The 23,222-nt window shown below is 44.1% G+C and overlaps 1 protein-coding gene across 5 annotated transcripts in view; it reads left to right on the forward strand.

Annotated features, from left to right (window-relative positions):
* Positions 1-23,028, forward strand: part of KIF5C (kinesin family member 5C) — a 151,533-nt gene extending 128,505 nt beyond the window's left edge. For 2 of the 5 annotated variants that reach the window (NM_004522.3, XM_011511157.3), the window contains 5 exons: positions 1,662-1,733; positions 4,232-4,336; positions 6,404-6,620; positions 7,839-7,952; positions 19,347-23,028. In NM_004522.3, coding sequence (NP_004513.1) covers positions 1,662-1,733; positions 4,232-4,336; positions 6,404-6,620; positions 7,839-7,945 — 501 coding nt within the window. In that variant the 3' untranslated portion in view covers positions 7,946-7,952; positions 19,347-23,028. Of the gene's footprint in view, positions 1-1,661; positions 1,734-4,231; positions 4,337-6,403; positions 6,621-7,838; positions 7,953-16,444; positions 17,322-19,346 lie in introns of those variants that run through there. The other 3 variants (XM_017004062.2, XM_047444258.1, NR_111932.2) reach the window with 2 other exon arrangements.

Genomic DNA, 23,222 nt, shown 5'->3' on the forward strand with positions numbered 1-23,222 from the left:
ATTGTTGAATCTCCCTAAAAACAAACAAAATGAGAGAAAGTTGCCAAACTCAGGACTCTATATTTAGTATTTACACCCCAGGAGATGCCTGGGCCTTGGACAAAGAACTGTTCTCATTCCCCTTTGGTGTGGTGGTGTTTTTATGAAAAATGTAAACTGTGATTACGGTTCAATCAGTAATGAAACCACTGACAAGAAACAGAGAGAGTGCATGCAGGGTGGGCGCAGGTGTTAAGGAGCAGGGTATCTGGGCTGAGCTCCCTCCGGCAGGGCCTGGGACAGTGTGTCTGTAACAGAGTGAGTGCTGCACCCCTGCCCCTGGGCTGGAAGGCAGCACAGCCTCAAACAGGTCCTGTGTGCACATTATTCATAATCACAGATCCATTTGGTTTCCTGCAGAAAGTAATTTACCTCATCCGAGGACACAATTGACTTCAGGTGCTTCTTATTTCAACACAGAATTGGACCCAGTAATAAGACCTTAAATTAACAGAGAACCTTTATTGCAAGAAACTTAGTGTTTCCGTAGCTTTATAGTCTGTTTCTTCCTTTTAGATGTGAGCGTGTGTGAGTTGCATCCCTTGAAATTCTGTGTTAAAGTAGGTCAATTTAGACAAAGTTTGCATGCAGAATTTAGCTCTCTCCTCTTCCTCTATAGGAAAATATTTTGCAAGGAACTGATCATATTTCCTATGGTAAATACATGGAGACTTGAGCAGACAGAAATGTTTGATCTTCTGATCTTGTTAACAAAGATCACCAGATTTGGCTCAGGCTCTTGTCTCAGTAATCTAATTCCTAAGGTTTCATTTGTAGAAAATAATCCAAAATGAAGGGAAAAAATGCCCCCAAGATGACAGTGAAAGTTTTAACAACAACAATAAAAGGAAGCAATACAATCCTAATGAAAAAATGGCTTTTATGTTATGAAATATGCATCAATAAATTCATACTAGTCATCTTTATTGGGCACTTAATATGTGCCAGAAAATGTTCTAAGAACATTATAAGGTTCATCTCATTTGATCTTGACAGCAATGATAAGGCAACCACTGTTTTTATTCTCATGTTACCAATAAGAAAACTGAGGCACAGAAAGGTTAGATAACTTGCCCAGGGCCACCCAGGAGGAAAGTCCATGAAATGCCTCATCCGTAAGCTCAGTGACTTAAAACAAGCAAGTGTGTGGACTTGCGTCTGAAGCAGGTGTGGAGACAGGAAAAATGTGAGTCAGTTACGGTGAGATATTGTGGCTAACTTTTCATTTCAGCTTGTTGGTATTACATTGTAACATTTACATAATAAAAAAAAGAAAAAAGGAATTCACCCTGATACAACATAGCCCAGTAGGAATTTTTGTGAGGAAACCTTTGAATTTTTGTGGGTGAGGAAATGTGTGGTTCCACTGTGAGCAGATGGGCAGGCTTTGTTCTGGTTTACAATTTGTGGTCTGGGTTCTCAGGCTCTGCACCTCAAGGTGCTCCAGTAATGACACTAGGTCCAGGGGTGGGCATGGTCAGGGTGGGGGTGTCACAGGGAAGGGGGTGCACCAGCGGCGTCCATGGCAGGCTTGGGAAGTGTCGGGGGAATGATCTGGTGCCAAATGTGTCATAAATTCAGTGAATTGCTGCACTTAAGTGGCCTTTAAAAATCTCTTCCAGTCTAGAGAATTGCAGACACTGCACAACCTTCGGAAACTCTTTGTCCAGGATCTGACCACCCGAGTTAAAAAAGTGAGTTCTCTTTGTCTGAATGGGACTGAGAAGAAAATCAAAGATGGCAGGGAAGAATCATTTTCAGTTGAAATATCACTTGCTTAAGTCGGGGCTGGTTATGCTTAAAAATTAATTACTGCACACCAGAGAATGTTATTAAAAGAATGTGCTGGAGGCAAAAAATACTTGGTAACATTTTCCCATCTGATTTTTCCTTCTTGGTAAAAGGAAGTCAGAATACTTTCTCTGGCCTTCATTTCAAATGAACGCATATTTTTCTGGCCCCCACTGTGTGAGGGCAACTGCTCTTGACACAGAAACATTTAGAGCAGTCATTTCAGAAAGCATTGCCCAGAAGCCTGGAGAAGTCGGACAGAGAGAGCCTCTTATTTGTTTGTTAAAAGGCCATTAGGGGCTAGGTCAGAGTTTATAAAGCACGTCAACATCCAGTATTTTATTTGCTTTTCCCAGCAACCATGTAAGTGGTGCTTAGTGTTCCTGTTTCTGCAGATGTGGAGATAGGCTCAGATGTTAAATAACTTACCCAATATTGCACTGGTGGGAAGAGCCAGAGATAGGTCTGGAACCCAGGCCTGCGGGGTCTCTGGATCTGAGCTTCTTCCATCCTCGTGCTACAGCAGCAGTCTGGAGACACTCCATAATGGTGACTCCCCCAAACAGCTTGCAGAGGTTTAAGGAAGGAGTCTGTTTAAGAAAAGTGGGTGCATATGTGTGTAAATGTGTGTGCATATTTGAGTGTGTGTACGTGTGTGTGTGAATGTGTGTCAGTGTGAAGGAGCCAAGGGAAAGAGGTCAAATGTCTTACAAAGATAGAGTCGGGTCTGAGAGGGAGAGGGTTAATAGTGTAGATGGATGTATTAGATAGGCTTGCTAAGGAGGAGGGACACAAATTCCTAGAAGGGAGGAGTGGAGAAGTCAAGTTGGAAGGATCGGCAGGGAAATACATGCGGGTGGAAAGAAGTCACATTTGATGACTTGGGTCTTCTTGGTTTATGTGAAGGCTCAGTCCTTGGTGGGGAAGTAGGGAAGAGAATGGGAAACCCAAGGAGACTAGACATGGTTCAGGCTGCCAAGGTAGGGGATGTGCTATGGAAGAGTAGAAGGATTGCTGAGCAGTGGTGTTGGTGTTGAGTTAGAAGCATGGGCTTGGCGTGGCCCCTGACAGCATGGTTTAAGTGAGTTTCGAATCCTGGAAATGAAAATAAAGAAGGCAGAAAATGATGGGCAATTTCAAGGCCTGCATGGCAATGGCTAGGCGATTAGGTAGTAAGCACAGACCAAAACACAAATGACCATGGGGGCCTGGCCCTGGCAGGAGAGTGAAGCCAGAGCAAAGGTGATGGACAGGGAGGCTAGAGAGGGGAGGGCACCTGGCCAGAGGTTATGACATGGACTGAAAAGGTTCAGTCCGAGGAAGGAGGTGGAAGCCATGACCATACATGGGAGGCTGTGGTCCTAGGGAGGGTTAGGAGCTTGAGATCAGACTTCCAGATTTCATGATAGAAAACTCCCTAGGAAAGCCCTGCTTTTAGACCAGTGTTTTTCTGCCGGTGGTTCTCTGGCCATCAGCCTCAGCATCACCTAGGAAACTGTTTAGATATGCAAATTCTCATACCCCACCCCAGGTCCACTGAATCAGAGACTAGGGATGGGGCGTGGCAATCTAAGTCTCAACAAACCCTCCCCTGGAGAGCCCAGTGCTAAGGCTCAAATTTGGGGAGCTCAGTTTTAGACTGAAGAGCTGCAGGTTTGAGATGCTCATGTAGCCATTACCTTTGAGAAAAAGGATGATGATCTCTTCTATAATCAGACAGAGCAAACCTGCTTTTCCACCTTGGAACACTGGGATGTGTTAGGACCTGTACTTTCCAATTTATCTGTGCCACTCGGCTTGCCAGGAGTGCAGTGTTTTGCCAATTTCAAGATCTGATAAATTTCAAGAATTTACCCAGCACCCGGATGCTATGATTAATTTGAGCCTGGTTCATTAATTAATTTTATAGATTTGGAAGCTGAAGGGACAAGCAGAGGCCATTAAGACTTCCCAGTGGGACCATAGACACTTGCTTACAAGTTTGGTGACTTGTTGTCCCACCATGATGGCTGAAATCAAATTTAGGTCCTGGGTTTATGTTTTTGCAGTTGTTGTTTCTTAATGAGTTTTGGAATGCTTTCTTTTGAAAAGAAGTCTCTATTTACTACATGAAAGGCAGATGTATATTTTACTGAAGATAAATCATCTACAACTTTCAAAAGCAGATTTGAAGGAGTTTTTTTTTTTTAGCTCTCTAAAAATTAGCTCCTCAAATCGCTTTTCATACTAATAAGGGAAATTAATTGGGGGATTTCTTGAGTCTAAACTTTTAGAACCTCTATTTTCACTTTCAGAATACCCTTTGGTGGGAATGGGGATTTTTTTTTTCCATCCACATTATCCTGGGGCGGAGGGTGGGTGGGTGACAGCCTGTCCTGCTGACCCCTTGGTGTCAATGCAGAGTGTGGAGTTGGACAACGATGATGGAGGGGGCAGTGCTGCCCAGAAGCAGAAAATTTCCTTCTTGGAGAATAACCTGGAGCAGCTCACCAAAGTTCACAAGCAGGTAGGAGAGTTCTGCCCGCTCCCCTCTGATTCCCTCCTCTCTCCTGGAAAGAAGCCCCACCAGGTTTGGCCACAGTGTGCGGAGAAGGCACTGAGATTGAAGGTAAAAGAACTGTACACTATCAGAGGACATGAGGGCTGGAAAGGTCCTTACAAATCCTTTAGTTCTCAGTGACTTCCCGTATATATAAAGGACTTTCTTTTATCAAAGCCAAATATAACGCATAGGGTTTGAGCTCTCTGGGGTTGGAGAGGGAAGTGTTCAGAGGCCTGTCTTTTCATCCTGCCTCCACCCCTGACTTTGGACACCATCTAGCCTCTGTGTCTCCCATGACACCTCTGAGGTACCTCTGTGGACCTGAAAGTGGACACCACTGAGCTGGTTCAAGTCCTTTATTTTTACAGATGGGGAAACAGACTGGTGCCTTGCTTCATTGCACCGTGGGAGGACCGGGACTGGAACCAGCACCCTCTCTGCTCAGCTGCCCATTCCTAGCGATCTCAGATGCTCTCTCGGATGCCTGCGATGTGCTGGCATTTGTCTAGAGTGACAGAGAGTGATAACTGTGTCCAAACTCACCAGTGATTTCAGCAGGTCATTTGTCTTGGATACTTTCTTTTTAAATGTTGGTGTGTGCATGGCTGTTTTCCCTCTTTAGGAATTGGGATATGATGGAAACGGCCCAAGTTTTTAGACCACATGGCCGAGGAGATGTCATTTCTCTTTGACTTGTTAAGTCTTCTTCAATATTACTGATGATGGCATTTTTTCCCCAGAGAGAGGATGATAGATTCTAGATAGTTGAAGTCACTCAAACAAATTGTCGATGAGAAATACGAAAGCAGAAACTGTCAGGGAGCTTGAAATAGGGCTCTGAGATGCATTTTTAAAATTTATTTTTATTTATTTTTGTTTTTTTTAATGTTTTTTTTTTTTTTTTGAGGCAGAGTCTTGCTCTGTCGCCCAGGCTGGAGTGCAGTGGTGCGATCTCTGCTCAGTGCAACCTCTGCCTCCTGGGTTCAAGAGATTCTCCTGCCTCAGCCTCCCGAGTAGCTGGGATTACAGGTGCGCGCCACCACTCCTGGCTAATTTTTTTGTATTTTTAGTAGAGACAAGGTTTCACCATGTTGGTCAGGCTGGTCTTGAACCACTGACCTCGTGATCCGCCCACCTTGACCTCCCAAAGTGCTGGAATTACAGACGTGAGCCACTGCACCCAGCTGAAATGCATTATCTTATTCATGGATTGAACGAGCATTTATTAAAAATGTACTCTCTGCCAGGCACTAGAGCTGGTGCTAGGAGAACAAAGCAGGAGACCCAGCAGTAGCTCACTTTGGTGTAGCACTTTGTGATTTTCAAAACTCCCTCCATCCATCTGGGTCCCCTATTATGTAGTACACTTGTGTTATAGATGAGAAACTTGAGACTTGTGGTGGTCAAATGACTTACACCAAGTCAGATGGCCAGGACATAAAGAGCTGGCCCTTGAGCCCACTCCTACCTAGGGCTGGGCTGTTGCTTCTTCAATCAGCAAAAAGGCGCAGTCTCCTCCTCTTACCTTAGCCTCTGGATGTGTTGCAAAGCTGGGTCCAAACCCCATGCCAGTGTAAACAGCAGGTTCTGCATGGAAGGAAGCCCTCTGAGAGCTCAGGAACATGCTTGTTTTTCACTGAGTCCTTTCAAACCGACTTTAAGTGTTTCAGCTTTCTCATGCTAATTTAGTATTCTCATATGTGGTCGATTTTCTCACACAATCCCCCTTTCCTCTACACACACCCAAACAGAAGAGGAGGTAAATCCTGCCTCAGATGGAAAGTTTCTTGTGGTGGGAAATAGGTTTTAATTGTATCCCCACCCCACCGTTCCTTGCACCCTGTGAATCACGTGTTCAGGAACCTGGACCCCACAGTCTGAGTTTTCCTTTCCTTTCTGTGGTTGTACGGAGTGCCAAGGACAACCTAGCAGGGGCCACCTGTTCAGCAGCAGGGGCTGCTTCTGGCTGCTCTGGTTTGTGCAATGCTGCCTGCCTGGTAGTAACTCCCTTCCTTTATCCTCCTGCCCCAGCTGGTCCGGGACAACGCAGACCTGCGCTGTGAACTGCCCAAGCTGGAGAAGCGGCTGCGTGCCACGGCGGAGCGCGTCAAGGCTCTGGAGAGCGCGCTGAAGGAGGCCAAGGAGAACGCCATGCGGGACCGTAAGCGCTACCAGCAGGAGGTGGATCGTATCAAGGAGGCCGTGCGGGCCAAGAACATGGCCAGAAGGGCCCATTCAGCCCAGATCGGTACGTGCGTGCACAGTGGCGCCCGGGGTTTGAGAAGCTACTGCGGCCTCTCAGCTCAGATTTGCTAAAAGGTGAAGACAGCGCTGGCCCACTCTGGAACATCTGAAAGGCTGGGTTGGAGCCCGCAGGACGCAGCCCTCACCGCACCCTGTGCTCACCCTGTGGGAATGGGAATGTCAGGCGCCCCCGTTATCCTACTCTGAGATATTCCAGCATACATCGTGGTCTCAAAACTTCTGAGCTGGGCAGAGAGAAGCCAGCCAAGGCTGTAGGCCTAGGTCTTGGGCTATAAATGGGTACACTCTTAGAAATACTGGAATAGGAGGATATTTCTCTGCAAGGTGTGAAGGGCCCTGTGTTCTGCACCCGGTGGGAGCATGAAGGAGCCCATATGTAGCCAGAGCCCCAGGGAAAGCCTCCAAGTGCAGGTTTGGAAATACCCCTGGAAGAGCCAGGCTGGCATCCATGACAGGGTGTGGCTACAGGCTGGCACAGAACCTGGGGAGGTCTGGAGTCTCAGCCTCTTCAAGACCTGTATGGATTTGGGCATTTTGCCCATGTAGGAAATGAGGGTGTAGCCAGAGTCCTGGTTCCCAGGATAGCCATAGGGACAAAAACAATTTAGGAATATTCTCTAAACAGCTTCTTCTCCTTTTTTTTTTTTTTAAATTGAAACATCTCCAATAACATGTAATTTATTTCCCATCAGATATTGCTGTGTAGATGTATTGCAAACCAGCAGTTTCACGTTTCTAGTTTTAAATCATACCTTAGAATAGTGGTTCATTGCATGTGTAGGATTTCATACCCTTTGAGAATCTATTAAAAGCTATGGACCCTCTCCCCAGAAAACAGCATCACAGGCAGAATTCTGCATCCAATTTCAGGGGCTACACAGATATCCTTGAAAGTCATGGGGAACCTACGATCCATTTCAGATGAAACTGAAAATCTTTTTTTCTAACTTTTCTTGGCCCAAATTAGAAATGAGCTAATTGATGTTTAAGTTCTTTCTGTCCCCTAAATATTTGGATGCCTTGGATTTGCTAAGTATACTGATAGTTTTCCCATTTTCAGAGAGATCTGGTGGTTGATAAGAATTGTACTGTTGGTAAGAATTGTGACTTTTAGTTGTCACAGGTGACCTGTAGATATCAGGGTTGCTGTTAAGACTTTTCTAAATGTCTGTTCTCTCTTCTTTCTGTTGGTTGGATACAGCCAAGCCCATCCGCCCCGGACACTACCCGGCCTCATCTCCAACGGCCGTCCATGCCATTCGAGGGGGAGGAGGCAGCTCTTCAAATTCCACTCACTACCAGAAATAAATACAAAGTGAGTCCCATGTCAAGGGTGGTTTCTCTATCTGGAGGCAGAGGCTTCTTGCCTTTCCAAAGCCCCTGCCTGGCAGTGGACCTTGAGTAGAGAGGAGTTCTGCTCTACTCCAGCACACACCCTGGGGGTTCCAGGTAAACAGAGACCCAGACCTGTCCTCACTTAGTCCAGAGCCCTGGGGTCTTCTAGCTGAGGCTGTCTGGGGCCCATGGGACCTGGAGCCAGGCCCGGCCTAATCCCCTCCAGGGGTAGGGGTGGTGAGTGATTCAGCCGAGCTTTGTTTTGCCTGTGGGACTCCCCTCTTTAATTGGCATCCCAAAGGGCATTACCTGTTTGTCAACTGCTTTACCCACAGCAGACAGAAGTTGGGGGTTGCTTTAAGTCTCAGGAACAGAATATAAAGAAAGAGCCAGATAATAGAAAGTGATGTTTTTATGTTTACTATCTGAACTCAACAAGTGGGGATTTTAAGAAGATATCTAGATGAGTCCAGGATGCTTTTTTCTTTGAGATGGTGGTCTGCAAGCTTCTCTACCCACAACCCATGTGCACGACATTTCTCTCCCAGCAAAAAGAAAAGGAACGAGTGATATTCTTTCCAAAAGAGAAGAAGCAGAGAGCGAAAACTGTCATCCTGATGGAAATGGAGAAAAGAGGTTACTAGTTGGGCGGGCAGACAGATGACTAGGTGACCAGAAAACTTTGTTTAGATAAACTCTGACTTTGAACATGCAGATGGGAAGAGGTGGCTCTGAACATTGTCCTTGGACTCTAAGCCCTTGCTAGGGTAGCTGGCTCCCAAGGCAGGCAAGCATGCAAGGTGTGAAGCCTGGACCCCTCCTCATCCAGTCCTTTCTGCATCAAGGCAAGAAGGTGAGCAGGAGGGGCTGGAGCCATCACTCAGGGTCCCGGCATCGCCCAGGCATAGGCTAAAACTTCCAAGGGAAATGCTTTGGTAGTTGCCCCCACACAACTTTTACCTGTGCTGCCCCAGGCAGTGCCAACGAGCAGGCCAGGGGCTGGTCAGAGTAGTGGGAACAGGAGGGAAGGCGGAGGCAGCCCGCGGGCGGGCAGTGTGCCTGCCATCATCTGCCATCTTCTAGACAGGAAAATGGGAAATGGTCTTGGCGGTGGGCCACCCCATTCCTATCTAATCTCTGCTTCCAATCAGAAATAGAATGAAACTGGAAGTTAGAAAGTTGCTTTTGACTACATATTGTCAGTATCGAGGCTGATACCTGAAGGGAACTCTAAGATCCAGCTGGGCAGCTTAGAACAGAAAAGCCTGAAGCAGTGGTCATCGAACTTTGGTGGATGTGAGCATCCTTGAGCACCCAGAGGCCCAGGCTCCTTAGAAGAGGAAGGGCCTGGGCTTTGTTTGTCTTTTTAACCAAGTACTCCAGGTGATTCTGATATTCATCGAAGTTTGAAAACTCTCCATGGTTTATACAGGATGGCGGTTTACGTCTGTCTTATGTAAGGGAAATTTGAAGGTGGTACATCAGTAGTTAAGAATCTCCACAGTGAAAACAGAAACCTAGCCTCTTAACTAGGTTAAGCACGTGCCTGCCTCCTGAACTCAAGGCCAGCTCAAGGTCACCAAATGACTTCAGTTTCAGCCATCATGCCTACATTCCAACTTTAGCAACCAGAGAGGAAGCAGAGAAGAGGCAAAAGCAGCCGTCCTGAATGAATCTCCTTTAAGTAGCCTTCCTGAAGCCCCATGCAATGCTGATGCCTCCCTTTCCCTGGACAGCACTGAGCCACATGGCCACATCTAGCTGGAAAAGGTAGTCTTTTAGCTGGGCACATCACTACCCCAAAGAAAGGTAATGCTTTTAGAGCAAGGACAGGGAGAGTGGATGTTGAGGTGGGCAGCTGGCATACTGTGCATTATGGACCACCTAATATGCTGCAGCACTGGGCTAGATGTAATATAGGCATCACCTCATTTGATGAAAGCACACATAGAGGTGTATGTGTGTTTCCCAGCAAGGCCTTACTAAATATACTGGTCCAGGGATTCTGGGGTCCAGAGATTGTGCAGTGGGACAGTCACCTTCTTCATGGGTTCCAACAAAGGTCTGCCAGTCCCATATTTTATGTAGGCTCCAAACAACCAAATGCTGGCCATTCATCACCAGTGTAGCCTCTTCTCATACAGAAGAGTGAAAATCAGTAGGTCTGGGGAGACTTTCAAGACCTTCGGAGTGAAAGAACCACCCTCACCCATTGTGGCATTTTTTTTTAATTTTACTTTAAGTTCTGGGATACATGTGCTCAATGTCCAGGTTTGTCACATAAGTATACATGTGCCATGATGGTTTGCTGCACCCATCAACCCATCATCATCTTTTCGAGATGGAGTTTCACTCTTGTTGCCCAGGCTGGAGTGCAATGGCATGATCTTGGCTCACTGCATCCTCTGCCTCCTGGGTTCAAACGATTCTCCTGCCTCAGCCTCCCGAGTAGCTGGGATTACAGGCATGTGCCACCATGCCCAGCTAGTTTTTGTATTTTTAGTAGAGACAGGGTTTCACCATGTTGGCCAGGCTGGTCTTGAACTCCTAACTTCAAGTGATTCCCCCCACCTCAGCTTCCCAAAGTGCTGGGATTACAAGCGTGAGCTACTGCACCCAGCTGGCAATTTGTTTCTTTACTCAAAGTGTTACAAGTGGTTTTGATGGTTTTATCTGAATTCAGAGCCTCCTTGACATACCTTCTCCACACAGCTTCAGACACAGCTTCTGTAACTAGGTGCTTCTCTCACCAGGTTACAAAATAAACAGGCCCCCTCTTACAGCTCTCAGGATGGCAGTGTGGCTGAGGGGACTGGCATTGGACAAGGGACCTGGGTTCAGGTGTTAGGTCTTCCACTTCCTTCAAGTTACTTAAACTCAGGTCTGTTTCCTCATATATGAAATGGGGAAAATCTTTTATGTTGGTCATTGGCATTGACAGAAGGCTTAAATGAGGTCATGCTTCTAAGCCCATAACAATTGCTCAATAAAAATGTTAGCTGCTAGTATAGATGAGCACTGCAGAAGGTGGTAGTTGATACATGTTGGTTTATAGTGTCCTTTAATTCATATAGTTGTTACTAAATGGTTTTTAGTTCCTCTATAGCAATAAATCCTGGCGACTGGATAGGGAAGGCCTATTTCTAACTGAGTATCCTAGTTGTTGCTATGAACTGACATAAGGGCTTTTAAAGATAATATTGGCCGGGCATGGCGGGTCATGCCTGTAATCCCAGCACTTTGGGAAGCTGAGGTGGGCAGATCACTTTAGGTCAGGAGTTCAAGACCAGCCTGGCCAACATGGTGAAACATCCTTCCCTACTAAAAATAGAAAAATTAGCTGGGCGTAGACATGCACACCTGTAACCCTAGCTACTTGGGAGGTTGAAGTGGAGAATTGCTTGAACCCAGGAGGCAGAGGTTGCAGTGAGCCGAGATTGTGCCACTGCACTCCAGCCTAGGTGACAAAGTGAGAGCCTATCTAAAAAACATATATATATAATTTACTTATCTACAAGCTATGACTATTTTTAAGAAATGACTGGGCATTTGTCAGTGGAGATTAAAAAGGGGTAGTAATCAACAGATTCAGGAATTGCAATTGAAAAGTAAAGAAATGCTAAATCCTTTTTGAAAAGTAATTGAAAATATGGAATTCATTGCTTAGATGAGAGCAAAGCCTTTTTGAGACAGTCTTTCCTGACCTTTGGGATTTTCATTCTGAAGTATCTCTTCCCTGGGTAGAAATGATCTCAATTGTGTCTTCCCAGCCCTCCTGTGGAGTCAAAGCACATATTCTTACAGCTGGATATCTTTGGAATTTCCTTCTGCTTCATTTCAGGGTTCAAGAATTATAGCCATAATGAGTATTTTGGTTTATTCTCAAGGTTTCAGAGCCTATGAAGATGCCAATATACAAAAATCAAAAGAACCCAGGATAATGCTGGCTTTGATCTTATCTGGTTCAAATCCACAGGGGGCTGCCTCAGGAGGAGATGATCTTTTTCAAACCCCAGAGCTACATATGGGGCAGTGCAGTGCAACCATGTGACATTGGGCAAGTTACTTGATTTCTGTCAGCTTTAGGTTTCCTACCGGCTAAGTGGGATCAGGCATTGAGAGCCTAGCTCTGTACTTGGTTTCACAGTGAATCAGACAAGAAGGCTGTGTTCTTGTCCAGTGATATGCTTGTTAGGGGAAGATGGACAGAAAATAAGGTAACTTCAAGTAGTGGTAAGTGCTCAGAAGAAAACAAAAACAGGCTAATGGAATAGGAACACTGTTTTAGAAGAGGGGGTGACATTTAAGTTGAGAACTGAGTGATGAAAAATGCCAGGCACACAGCAACCTGGGAGAAAGTGGTTCGATGATCACTCAAAGGTAGGAATGAATGAGGGTTATTTGAGGAATGTTACCAAGGCTGATAAGGCAGTAGCTCATGGATCTGGGAGAACCCATCTTCATTAGAGTGGATGGGGAGGGAGTTGAGCCCAAGTAAATGAAGGTGTTGAAGCTGTGGGCAACTTAGATTGTAGCCTAGTGTGAGGGGCCACTGGGGCTGTGGGCGTGGAAGCAGTGGGAGCTGGTTCATGATTAGACAAGGCCACTCTGGGCTGGACCCTGAAGAAGGGGTAGGAATGGGGTAAGCACTGGGGGTTGCCTAGGGCGTCACTGTAGGTGGCCATGGGGGAGGGTCCGGTACCAGACCCAGGTGGTGGCAGCAGGGGAGAAGTGGCCTGAGTCAGTGCCTGCTTAGAGCTGATTCAGCTGTCAGGCTTACTGATGAGGGTTGAGAGCAAGAAGAGGAGGAAGGAAGGGAATCAAGGTAGTTCCTAGATTTTTGTGGGCTCTAGCAGTTAGGGAAACATTGGTCCCTTTTTAACCATGCCAGGGAAAATCGGGGGATGAGCAGGTTTTGTGGGAAAGCTTGGTTTCCATCATGTTGCTTATGTGCTGCCTCTCAGACATCCAGCTGAGCCCACCACGCAAGTGGGTGTGTGGAACAGGTGGCTGGATCCGTGGGTCTGGAGCACAGGAGAGAGGCTGAGGTGAGGCCAGGGCTGGAGAGTTGTGACTTGTAGATTGTGTTTATGGCCACAGGTCTGAAGGAGGCAACCTAGAGAAAAGGTGGGCACAGCAGAGAGGGGAGCTGAGGGGCGAGTTGGACCAGGCCCAGGCACTGGAAAATGGGAAGGCCAGAGAAAAGAGGTGGCACCAGCAGAGGGGCCTGAGGATCATGTGGGGGCACAGAGGTCAAGTGAAGACCTTGACCCTAGAAGGAAGGTGGTCAGCTCAGAGCTTGAGTAAGATGATGACAGAGACTGGGTGGTTGAAGAAGGCCAGGTGGCAGTGACCTTAGCATGGACTAGACAGACTAGGTGAGGAAATAGAGCCGGCAGCTGAACCCACTTTGGGGGTTTTATTTGAAGGAGATCAGAGAAATGGAGCGATGTGGTGGTAAGGTGGGGCTGCGTTGCTTTTCTGTTGTAAGATGGGAGATATTACAGCATAGTTGTGTGCGATGGTGATGGTATAGCTGAGCTGGGCAGAGGAGGAAGCACAGCTGTGGGTGGGCGGTAGATGGGGTGCATTGGGAGGCAAGATCCAGGTCACCTTAGAGCTTGTTTTCTCGTGCAGGCAAGAAGCCAGATGATCAGCTGAGAGAGAGGGAGGAAGCAGGGTCTCGCTCTTGAGACCAGAGACGGTGTAAAATCAACCTCTCAGGCAGTGCTGAGTCTTCTTTGCAGCCCCACACTTAATGTAGACACCTGATTAAACATCTGCCCAGCTCCCTCGTTTTGAGAGCCCTGGAGATCCACTTCCTTTCCAGGCAGTGCTTTGGCAAGCCAGGGGACTTGTTCAAATGTCTCCACCAGATGGCGCCAGTAGGGCATTGCTGAAACCTTAGATGTTTTCTGAAAGACGGAAGGCAGAATGGTCTTTTTTCTTGGTTTTCCTATATTTAGACCATTTTATCTCAAACTTGAGTAGTAAATAGAGTATTTTGAAAGGAATACAATTCTCACAGATCCCCAGAGTTGATTTAAATTATTTTATTATAATACAATTTGCACATTGTAAACAGTATACATTCCCTACTTACAGATCTTATACAACTGTCAAGTCAAAACAAATTTAGAAATTAAATCGAAATAAAACCACAAATAAAAAGTCCAAACCACCAAACTTCACATAATTTAATGAAAGAAGGGCTTTTTCTGAAAATAAAGAGCTAGGTGCAATGCGACCCCGGAGTGCGTTGCTTCTTGTAGAGTTTGGGATGCCTGTTTTTTGTGTGTCGTGGTGTGACTCAATTCTTTCACTCCTGTACTCCCAGCACTCTGAGAGGCTGAGGCAGCAGGATGGCTTGAGCTCAGGAGTTTGAGACAAGCCTGGACAACTTAGCAAGACCTTGTCTTTACTAAAAATAAAAAAATTAGCCAGGTGTGGTAGTGCATGCCTGTAGCTCCAGTGACTTGGAAGGGTGAGCTGGGAGGATCATTTCAGCTGGAGAGTTTGAGGCTGCAGTGAGCTGTGATCATGCCACCACACTCTAGCCTGGGTGACAGAGTGAGATTCTACCTCAAAAATAAATAAACAAATAAAAACAAATACATGAAGATTAGCCTAGTGCCTGGCACTGAACAAGCACTCCGTGCTCATCTGTGTTGTCCTCATCACCTGATCCTGTCTCCTCATTCTACATCCCAAAGAGGCGGGATGAGCTGTCAAGATCCCATAACTATGAGTGGTAGATCCTGGGCTAAGAGCGATGATCTTCTCTGCAACAGTTCTCAAAGTTCTTGGCCTTAGGACCTTTTCTCCTCTTAAAAAGGATCAATAGACTGGGTATGGTGGCTCACGCCTATAATCCCAGCACTTTGGGAGGCCAAGGCAGGAGGATCACTTGAGGCCAGGCGTTTGAAACCAGCCTTAGCGAGACTCTGTCTCAATAATAATAATAATAAAATAAAATAAATTAAAAATTAGCTAGGTATGGCAGCTTACGCCTGTAGTCCCAACCACTTGGGAGGCTGAGGTGGGAAATTGAGCCCAGTAATTTGAGGCTGTGGTGAGCCATGTTTGTGTCACTGCACTCTAGTCTGGGTGACAGAATGACAATCTTTCTCAAAAAAACAAACAAAAAAGGATCAATGAGTTTATATATATATATATGGGTTATATTTATTGATATGTATCATATTAGAAATTAAAGCAAAATATTTAGAATACTGCCGGGTTCATTTAAAAAATAGTAATAAGCCCATACATGTTACCACAAATGTGATTTGTAATGAAAATAACTATTTTCAAAACAAAAAATAGCCAAATGGCATTGTTTTACATTTTTGCAAATCTCTTTGATGCCTGGTTATTTAATAGATGGCAGCTGGATTCCCCCAGCTGTTTCTGCATTCTGTCTGTTGCGGTGTGCTGTTTTGGTTGAAGTATATAAAGATAATCCCCCTTTGTCACACCAGACAAGATTCTTGGCCATTGGACAGCTAAGAAAACTGTGGAATGGGGAAGTTGGGATCATAGTGCCCGTATCACAGGCTTGTCTGGGATTGAATGAGAGAATGTGAAAGAAGAGAGAAAAAAGTCTTAGAAGAATACCTGGCAAAAATTAGGCCCCCGTGCATGTTAGCTAATGTTAAAGTGGTCATGGGGACAGACCTGAAAAGACAGCTGAGGTGGGACTGCAGGGAGAGAGGACAGAAATAACTGTAGGTAGGTGCTGCTATGGCAGAGGACTTTGAAACTGGCAATCTCAACCCAAAGAAGGGAATTGTGGAGCACCCGGAGGCAAGAATTCCTGATTCCATCTACAGCACAGTAGGCTCCTCCACTTTAATACTCCTCAGCTTCATGGTTCTCAGAGTCATAAATTCAGAGCAACTAAAATTGTTCCTCCACAGCAGATTGTACCAAAGCTCCAATGAGATAAATCCACTTCTATTCAGCAGTGATAAGTAGAGTACAATTGGTAATTCTTATAATGTGGGGATTGAATTATAAAAAGGCAAAAGAAAAACTAAAACTATGTACTGTTTGGATTAAGCTTAAATCCACTGCAAGCAATTGCAAAAGCCCAAGTTGGGTGTGAAAACGGTCTCTAAATACTTCTTGCAAAACCCTTGTATAATTAACTTCCTTCATTAGCTTTCCCCACCCCTTCTAAAGAAAGGTGATTTTATTTCCTCCTAAATCTGGTCACACGTTGCCACTTTGAATTACCATCTCCAGTTTGGCAGAGTGCCAGGGGAAGTCCTAGAGCAGGTCAGTTGGTCCAGTCCCCTGCCTCTAAGTGAGTGAGTGGCTACTTGGAAGAGAGTCAACAGGACTGGGTTTTAAAGATTCTCCAGACTCCTCAGTCTCTCTGGGATTAGAACAGACAGAAATGCTTTATCTCAGGGCAAAACCATTTACCTTTAAAATTTATATCTATTTTCTCCCATGAATTTATCTAAGGATATGAAGATCCAGATAGTGGGAAGGATGGATGAGAGCATCCTGCTGGAATCCATGTTTCTTGGGCCTGCTGGAAAGACTTCTCAGCAGACAGGCCTGTAGAGATCCTTAACTGGGGATGAAGAGGAACGCTGCATCCTAGTAAAGAAAGGACCCTTCATTGGCAGAGTTCCTGTGCTTTTCCTCTCCTTTCTCACTCTCCTTGAGGTGACTAAACTAAGCAGGTGGGGCCTCCTTTGTGGCCCCGTGTTTCTTCCAAACTATGAGCCAAAACCTGCTGAATCTTGCCCAGCGGGGATCGGGGGCTTTGACTGAGAGGCCTTCCAGGGGGAAATTGTGTCACTTTATGGTCTGCTGGAGTTATTGAGGCCGCCCCATTGCATTTGTGTCTAGTGCTTGCTGTGTCAACACGGTTTGGCTGCAAACATTGCGTCAGGCCATAATCCCACAATCCAAGGTATGTGCTGGCACCTCTCTGCCTCCAGGCACGCAGAACGGCCATCTCATCCGACCAAGGGGATCTTATCTGACCAGGGGGATAGCGTGCGTGGAGAAATGAACCTGTGAGAAAGTGAAATGGCAGTTTCAGTGGTGGCATTCAGGCAGGCACTCCTATTGGTTTTCAGCTCAGAATGCATTTTAAATAACAACTATGACCATGCTTTTAGGTTTTTCACTTCTAATTCTGGCAATAAGCCCAAAATTTCACCAGAAAGGCCATGTTCTTCCCAAAGACATCTTACTCTCTGTGACTTCTAAAAATGACAGAAATATCACCCTCTAGGGTTGTTTAAGCCCTTCTTAGTTGTGTAGCTTTGCCACTGTGGGTGATTATACCAAATGAGTTCTGTGAATATTTTTTCTTGTCAGTGAAGAGGTGGTTTTGTTTTTGTTTTTGTTTTTTTGAGACTGAGTCTCACTCTGTCACCCAGGCTGGAGTGCAGCAGCATGATCTCGGCTCACTGCAACCTCTGCTTCCCAGGTTCAAGCGATTCTCCTGTTTCAGCCTCCCAAGTAGCTGGGACTACACATACAAGCCACCATGCCGGGCTAATTTTTGTATTTTTAGTAGAGATGGGGTTTCACCATGTTGGCTGGGCTGGTTTCAAACTCCTGACCTCGAGTGATCCACCCGCGTTGGCCTCCCAAACCAAAGTGCTGGGATTATAGGCATCAGCCACTGCACTTGGCCAAGAGGTGGTATTTTTAAAAAGAATGTGTTGTTCTGTTTTTTTTTTTCTATTCAGTTTCTGTTCCGTATTTCTTCTCCCTTTTTCACCCACTTTGCTTGTATCTGCTTTAATAACCCCTTTCTAGACTGAGAATTTTTCTATTTATATGTAACTTACATCCTGCTGATTTATGCAAAATATGTGAGGTTGCTTACAATATTATAACATATAAATCAGAAGAGTGAAGAAAAAAAAGAGCATGGTAGCGGGAATCTGAGATATTACCACAGTTGAGCACCAAATGTTGATATAAGCCTTCTAGAGGCAAAACAGAAAGCATAATGCATAATGTGTCAGGTTACAGAGGGCTTTTTTTTTTTTTTTTTTTAATCAAAAGAGAAGTTGGGCTTTTCTTAGTGGCTGTTGTATTTCCAGTACCAGGTAATTCCATGTATTTCTTAAGGATAAGGCTCTACCTCCCTCTTGTCATCCCTGTCCCCATCCCCTAGAGTACCATGAGCTCTGCACAAAACCTATAGTAAGATCTCAGAGCTAGGGCCTCCAGCCGGTGACAGGAAACAGAGCCTTTCAGTGTCTTCTGAAAGTTGAGCTTACTGATGTTGGGTGCAGGCTGACAGAGGCCATTCAGGCTGGTCTAGACGTTCATCCTGGAGATGCGCCCAGCACCAGCCGAACTTCTGGTGGGAAGTGGAATGAAATGGACAGGGGTGGTCTTTTGGAGAATCTTATTATCCGATGGAGACGAAGCATACCTTTGGGAACTGGGAACCTCTTTCTACAGAGAGTCTGGGTTAGGGGCCTTGTTGCACCTGCTTGCTATCCTAAGTGCAGGCAAATGAGAAATGTTTTAATTTCCCCCTAGGAATGAGAAAATGCATTATGTTACTCTGAATATCCATAGCCTCAACAGATACCGACTTATGGAAGAGAATGTTGAGACTGTCAGGACTAAATACTTAAAGCAAAATCAGGAAATCGGAGGTTGTGCTGTTCATGTGCCACTATCCACATGTGTCTTTTGAGCTCTCAAAATGTGGCTAAGTCCAAATTGAGATGGGCTGAAAGTGTAAAATATACACCAGATTGCAAACACTATTGTGTGAAAAAAAAAATCTCAGTAGTAATATTGTAATGTAAACGATCTCAACATGTAATACCAGTTACATGTTGAAATACTATTTAGGCTATATAAAATATATTACAATTAATCTTACCTATTTCTTTTCACTTTTTAATGTAGCCACTAGAGAATTTAAAATTAAATATGTGGCTTGGCCGGGCACGGTGGCTTATACCTGTAATCCCAGCACTTTGGGAGGCCGAGGTGGGTGGATCACCTGAGGTCAGGAATTTGAGACCAGCCTGGACAACATGGTGAAACACCGTCTCTACTAAAAATACAAAAATTAGCCGGGTGTGGTGGCAAACCCTTGTAATCCCAGCTACTTGGGAGGCTAAGGCAGAAGAATCACTTGAACCCGAGAGGCAGAGGTTGCAGTGAGTCGATATCGCGCCACTGCACCCCAGCCTGGGTGACAAGAGTGAAACTCCATCTCAAAAACAAACAAACAAAAAATATGTGGCTTGTGTTATATTTGTATCTGACAGCTCTGGTCTAAACATCTAGAATTAAACAAAACTTTTTTGAGGAGTAAATTTCTACTGTGTTTTCTAATTCCTATGTTCTCTCTTTGGTTCTCTTTCAACAGATATGACTCCACGTAGCATGTCAAGGACTACATTAATCACCAATTCCTTTATTTTTCCCCCCCTACAGTTTCCATTTTTTTTTTATACTTGCTTACTCCAGCCATCTGCAGTACACCAGTTTCAGGTCTTTTGAGCTGTGTAGAGTTTCTGTGTGTACAGATGTGTGCTCGGACTTTTCTCTTTTTGAGAAATCTGAAGGAGATGGTTGCAGAAGATCCACTTACTACTGAGAACCATTACCACCGACTCGGCCTCCGGGGTGTTGGGTGGTTTCTGGGTGGTTCCTGGAGCCTCCTCTGGGCAGTGCACTGTCCCATCTGTACGCCCTAATGTGCCATTCCCTAGAGGGGAACAACCAAGTGCCGTGGAGGCAGATGATCATGGTCTGCCTCAACTGTCTGGTTTCCTGTAAAATAAACACATTGTTTTATATTTTTAGGGAACAAAAAGTGCTGCTATAGGGTTCAAAGTTTTCCTTCTGAACACTTTTCCGAAACAAATTACCCCAAAGACACATTTTGAATATCCTGGTCACATCTTTGGATCTGTAAAATATACCTTTTAGTATGGCACCTGTTAAAATGCAAAGCAAATTTCTTTGGGGCAGAAAAACAATCTGACAGTAGCAGTGTAGAATTTGTTCATTCAAATACATCTGTGTAAATGCAAAAAGTCATAAAATTCACCTCCGAGCTGCTTGCTTTTGAACCTGCAGCAACTAGTCTTAGCCGGCCCGGTTTGAACATCGTTCTTTCAGAAGTGCTGAAAATGCTGCAAAGTTGGATAAGTGGAAATGTGGCTGCCCCTCTCCTCACTACTTCCTCTCTGATCGTTCTGAAGCTTGCATTGGGAATGGCTGCTTTCTCTAACCATTTTCAGCTTGAGTGGGTATTGCTGAAGAAATCCAACATCATTCCAGCAGTTGAAAAAGGAAGCCTTCGGGAGAAAGTGCTTGTCAAAATTTTGTTCTTTGTGCTTGTGTATGAGTAAGTTGCCATGAATAAGTTATTATTTTAACCCATAATTGGCGACTGTTTATATGAATTCTTTCTTTGGCACCAAATAGGTTTCATCTTCTTAGGCACAATTAGAAAAAATCCACATAGATGGATATTTTACATTTAGTTATTGCTTTATCCAAATACATGAATCTAAAGCTGAATCAACCCTTACTTCCAGTTGTGCTTATTAAGAAGATCAATTTCCAAGTAGTAAAGTTTTCAGGGAAACTGACTGTGCTGCTATTTGTTTTGACAAATTTGGGGGTAAGTCAATGACAACCAAACCAATCTCGGTGGAAACTCCTATCCTATCATGTTGTGTGCCCAAGATGAGTGAGCTGGCACTGTGCCCTGAAGCTTTCACCACTGTAATGAAATATATGCCAGGGGAGACTTTGGGCTTTTCTCATGACTGTGTGGGTCGAAGGTAGCTCAAGTGTGTGTGTGTGTGTGTGTGTGTGTGTGTGTGTGTGTGTGTGTGTATGTGTGTAAAGTGCTAAGAACTGTGCATTGACATCCAAACATTTCTTGTACAAAATTTCCCTAGCAAAGCAAACCTGCTTTGACTTAATTTATTTGTTAAATGTTGCACTTTGTTTATGTATGTTTTGTTTTTGGTGGGGAATAAGGAGAGAGAGGACGACAAATTCTATTGAAGTATTTATTTTGTGAAGATGGCAATTTTGCATTTGTTTAAATTTTTTTCATTCTTTAATTTTGTTATCAGTGCCAGCCCAATATACCTGCTCTACCATTATTTGCGGTCTGATAAAAGGGTCCTTGTGGGGCAGGTTTTGCAAAGCTTATCAGGTAATAACATATGCCACATAACCTTGTTGATATGTTTGCTTCTGATTTGGGAAGCTAAACATTGGTGTTTGAGAGGATTGCCAATTATTAATTGTCATTACCACTACTCTCCATTACTTTTTGTTTGGAAATTGAACAAAGGTCAGTAATGGTTTTTGGCTCTTGTTAATATCCATCATAAAATAGATTGTTTTAGATTCTTTCCAGGGTGATTTTTCCCTGGGTACCCCGTTTCTACTTCTAAAGAATTGCTTGGCACTTTCATGTTTCAAAGGGAAACATTCGCTTGTAGTTCCATTTTACTTGATCTCTACAAGGGACTGACAACATTTGCTTTACTTTTATTCACAGAGAAAGTTGGCTTTGATGTCTCTTAAAGATAATTCTGCTAGTTGCTGATCAGCCAGTCAGTTCACCTAGCTTCAATCTTTATAGGACTTCTAATCTAATTTTCCTATAGTGTGACTAAAAGGGAGGCAAATTATTGGAACGGATTATTCAAATGGATCCTTAAATATTGCTATGTATAATAAGCCAGTTATTATATCAGGACCATGTTCTCTGTAGGCCACTTTCTAAAAAAGCCACATATGTGCAATTTTCAGGTTTTTAGACTATTGCTCCCTGTACTTTAAATGTAAAAACCACACTTCTGAACAACTAAGCTCATGAATATGATTTTGGTTATATGCAGCTTTTGACTAGCATGTATTGTGTCTTTTTCTCCTCTATGAATAATTTTATATTTCATGCTACTTCTTGAAAGTTTACTCTTTGATGCTCTAAGAGAACAGCCAGATGGTTTATATGAATAATCTTTATCTGCAGGATGGTGGATTGGTAAATTAGGAGAATGTTGTTTGAGATATCAAGATTTATGTCTGGGAACTAAAATATATAATGCCAAATGTGTTTTTGTCAATTACTAGAGAATTCTGTGCAAACATATCATCTCTTCAAATGCTGCACACTTTGCTTTTGTTAAACAGCAGGTAGTAGACAGAACAATAACAGTTTCGCGTTAAGACTTTTAAAGGAAATAGAATCGTGATTAAGAAATCAGAATTTATAGATATATTGGGATAAATGAAGAAATAAAAATGTTTGTCTAGAATGTAGCATCTAGTGACTTTTTAAAGCCCTAACGTTTACATAAAGAAGCTCTAGTTCTTATAGAAATAACAAAGCAAATAAAAGTTCTTAACAATCCCCTCTTTCGAAGTGCATTTTTTTAAAGCAGGGCAGGAGACATTTGGACTCTAGCTATATGACATACTGGGAAAGGCAGAGGGTGGAGGGAAGATTTCACTTCATTGTCTAGCCCAGAATCTTGAGCAAGCTAAAGAAACCATCATAATCTAAAATTGCTTCATTTAACACTAACAATTTAGACTTTTTAAACCAAGCATTGAATAATGGCTGGATAACTGCCGAAGTAAGCGCCGCTCCATGAAGTCTGCTTACTTATTTAAAAATTGTGTATCAGTTTTAAATACTGTTCATTGTGTGCAGATATAAGGGGAATAGGGCATTCTGTAGAATTATACATGTCTAGTTTGTAAAGTGTGTCCTGTGTACTGCAGATGTGTGTTCTCTGGGCTTTATGTATCTGTACAGTAGCTTTCACATTAAAAAAATTGTGGACAAACTTGTCCGGGGGGTTTGAGGGGAGAATGGTGGTTTATATCAATAACGATGCTGTACTATAGTCCATGTAACAAAAGATCTGGAAGTCACCCTCCTCTGGCCCACGGAAAATTTTGGTAATCTTCTAGGTTCTAAAATGAAGATGTATGGGTACTCTGGCAGACTGCATGTTGTATAATTTGAAAAATACTAAAAGTGGAAAATAAAATTGAATTAAACTTTGGCTGGTCTGTTTCTCCTTATTTGAGCCACCCTGAAGGTATGGTCATTGGAGATGTCAGTGCCTGTGTGAGGATGAGCCATTTTCTGGCCTCAAAAGAGTTCACTTCAAGTGAGCAGGTGCCCCAATACACAGCATAAGCAAAGTCAACCTTGACCATTTTTGCTTTTACTTTGCTTAAATATCTGCTCTAATTT

This window comes from Homo sapiens, chromosome 2, assembly GCF_000001405.40.
Source record: "Homo sapiens chromosome 2, GRCh38.p14 Primary Assembly".
NCBI lineage: Eukaryota > Metazoa > Chordata > Mammalia > Primates > Hominidae > Homo > Homo sapiens.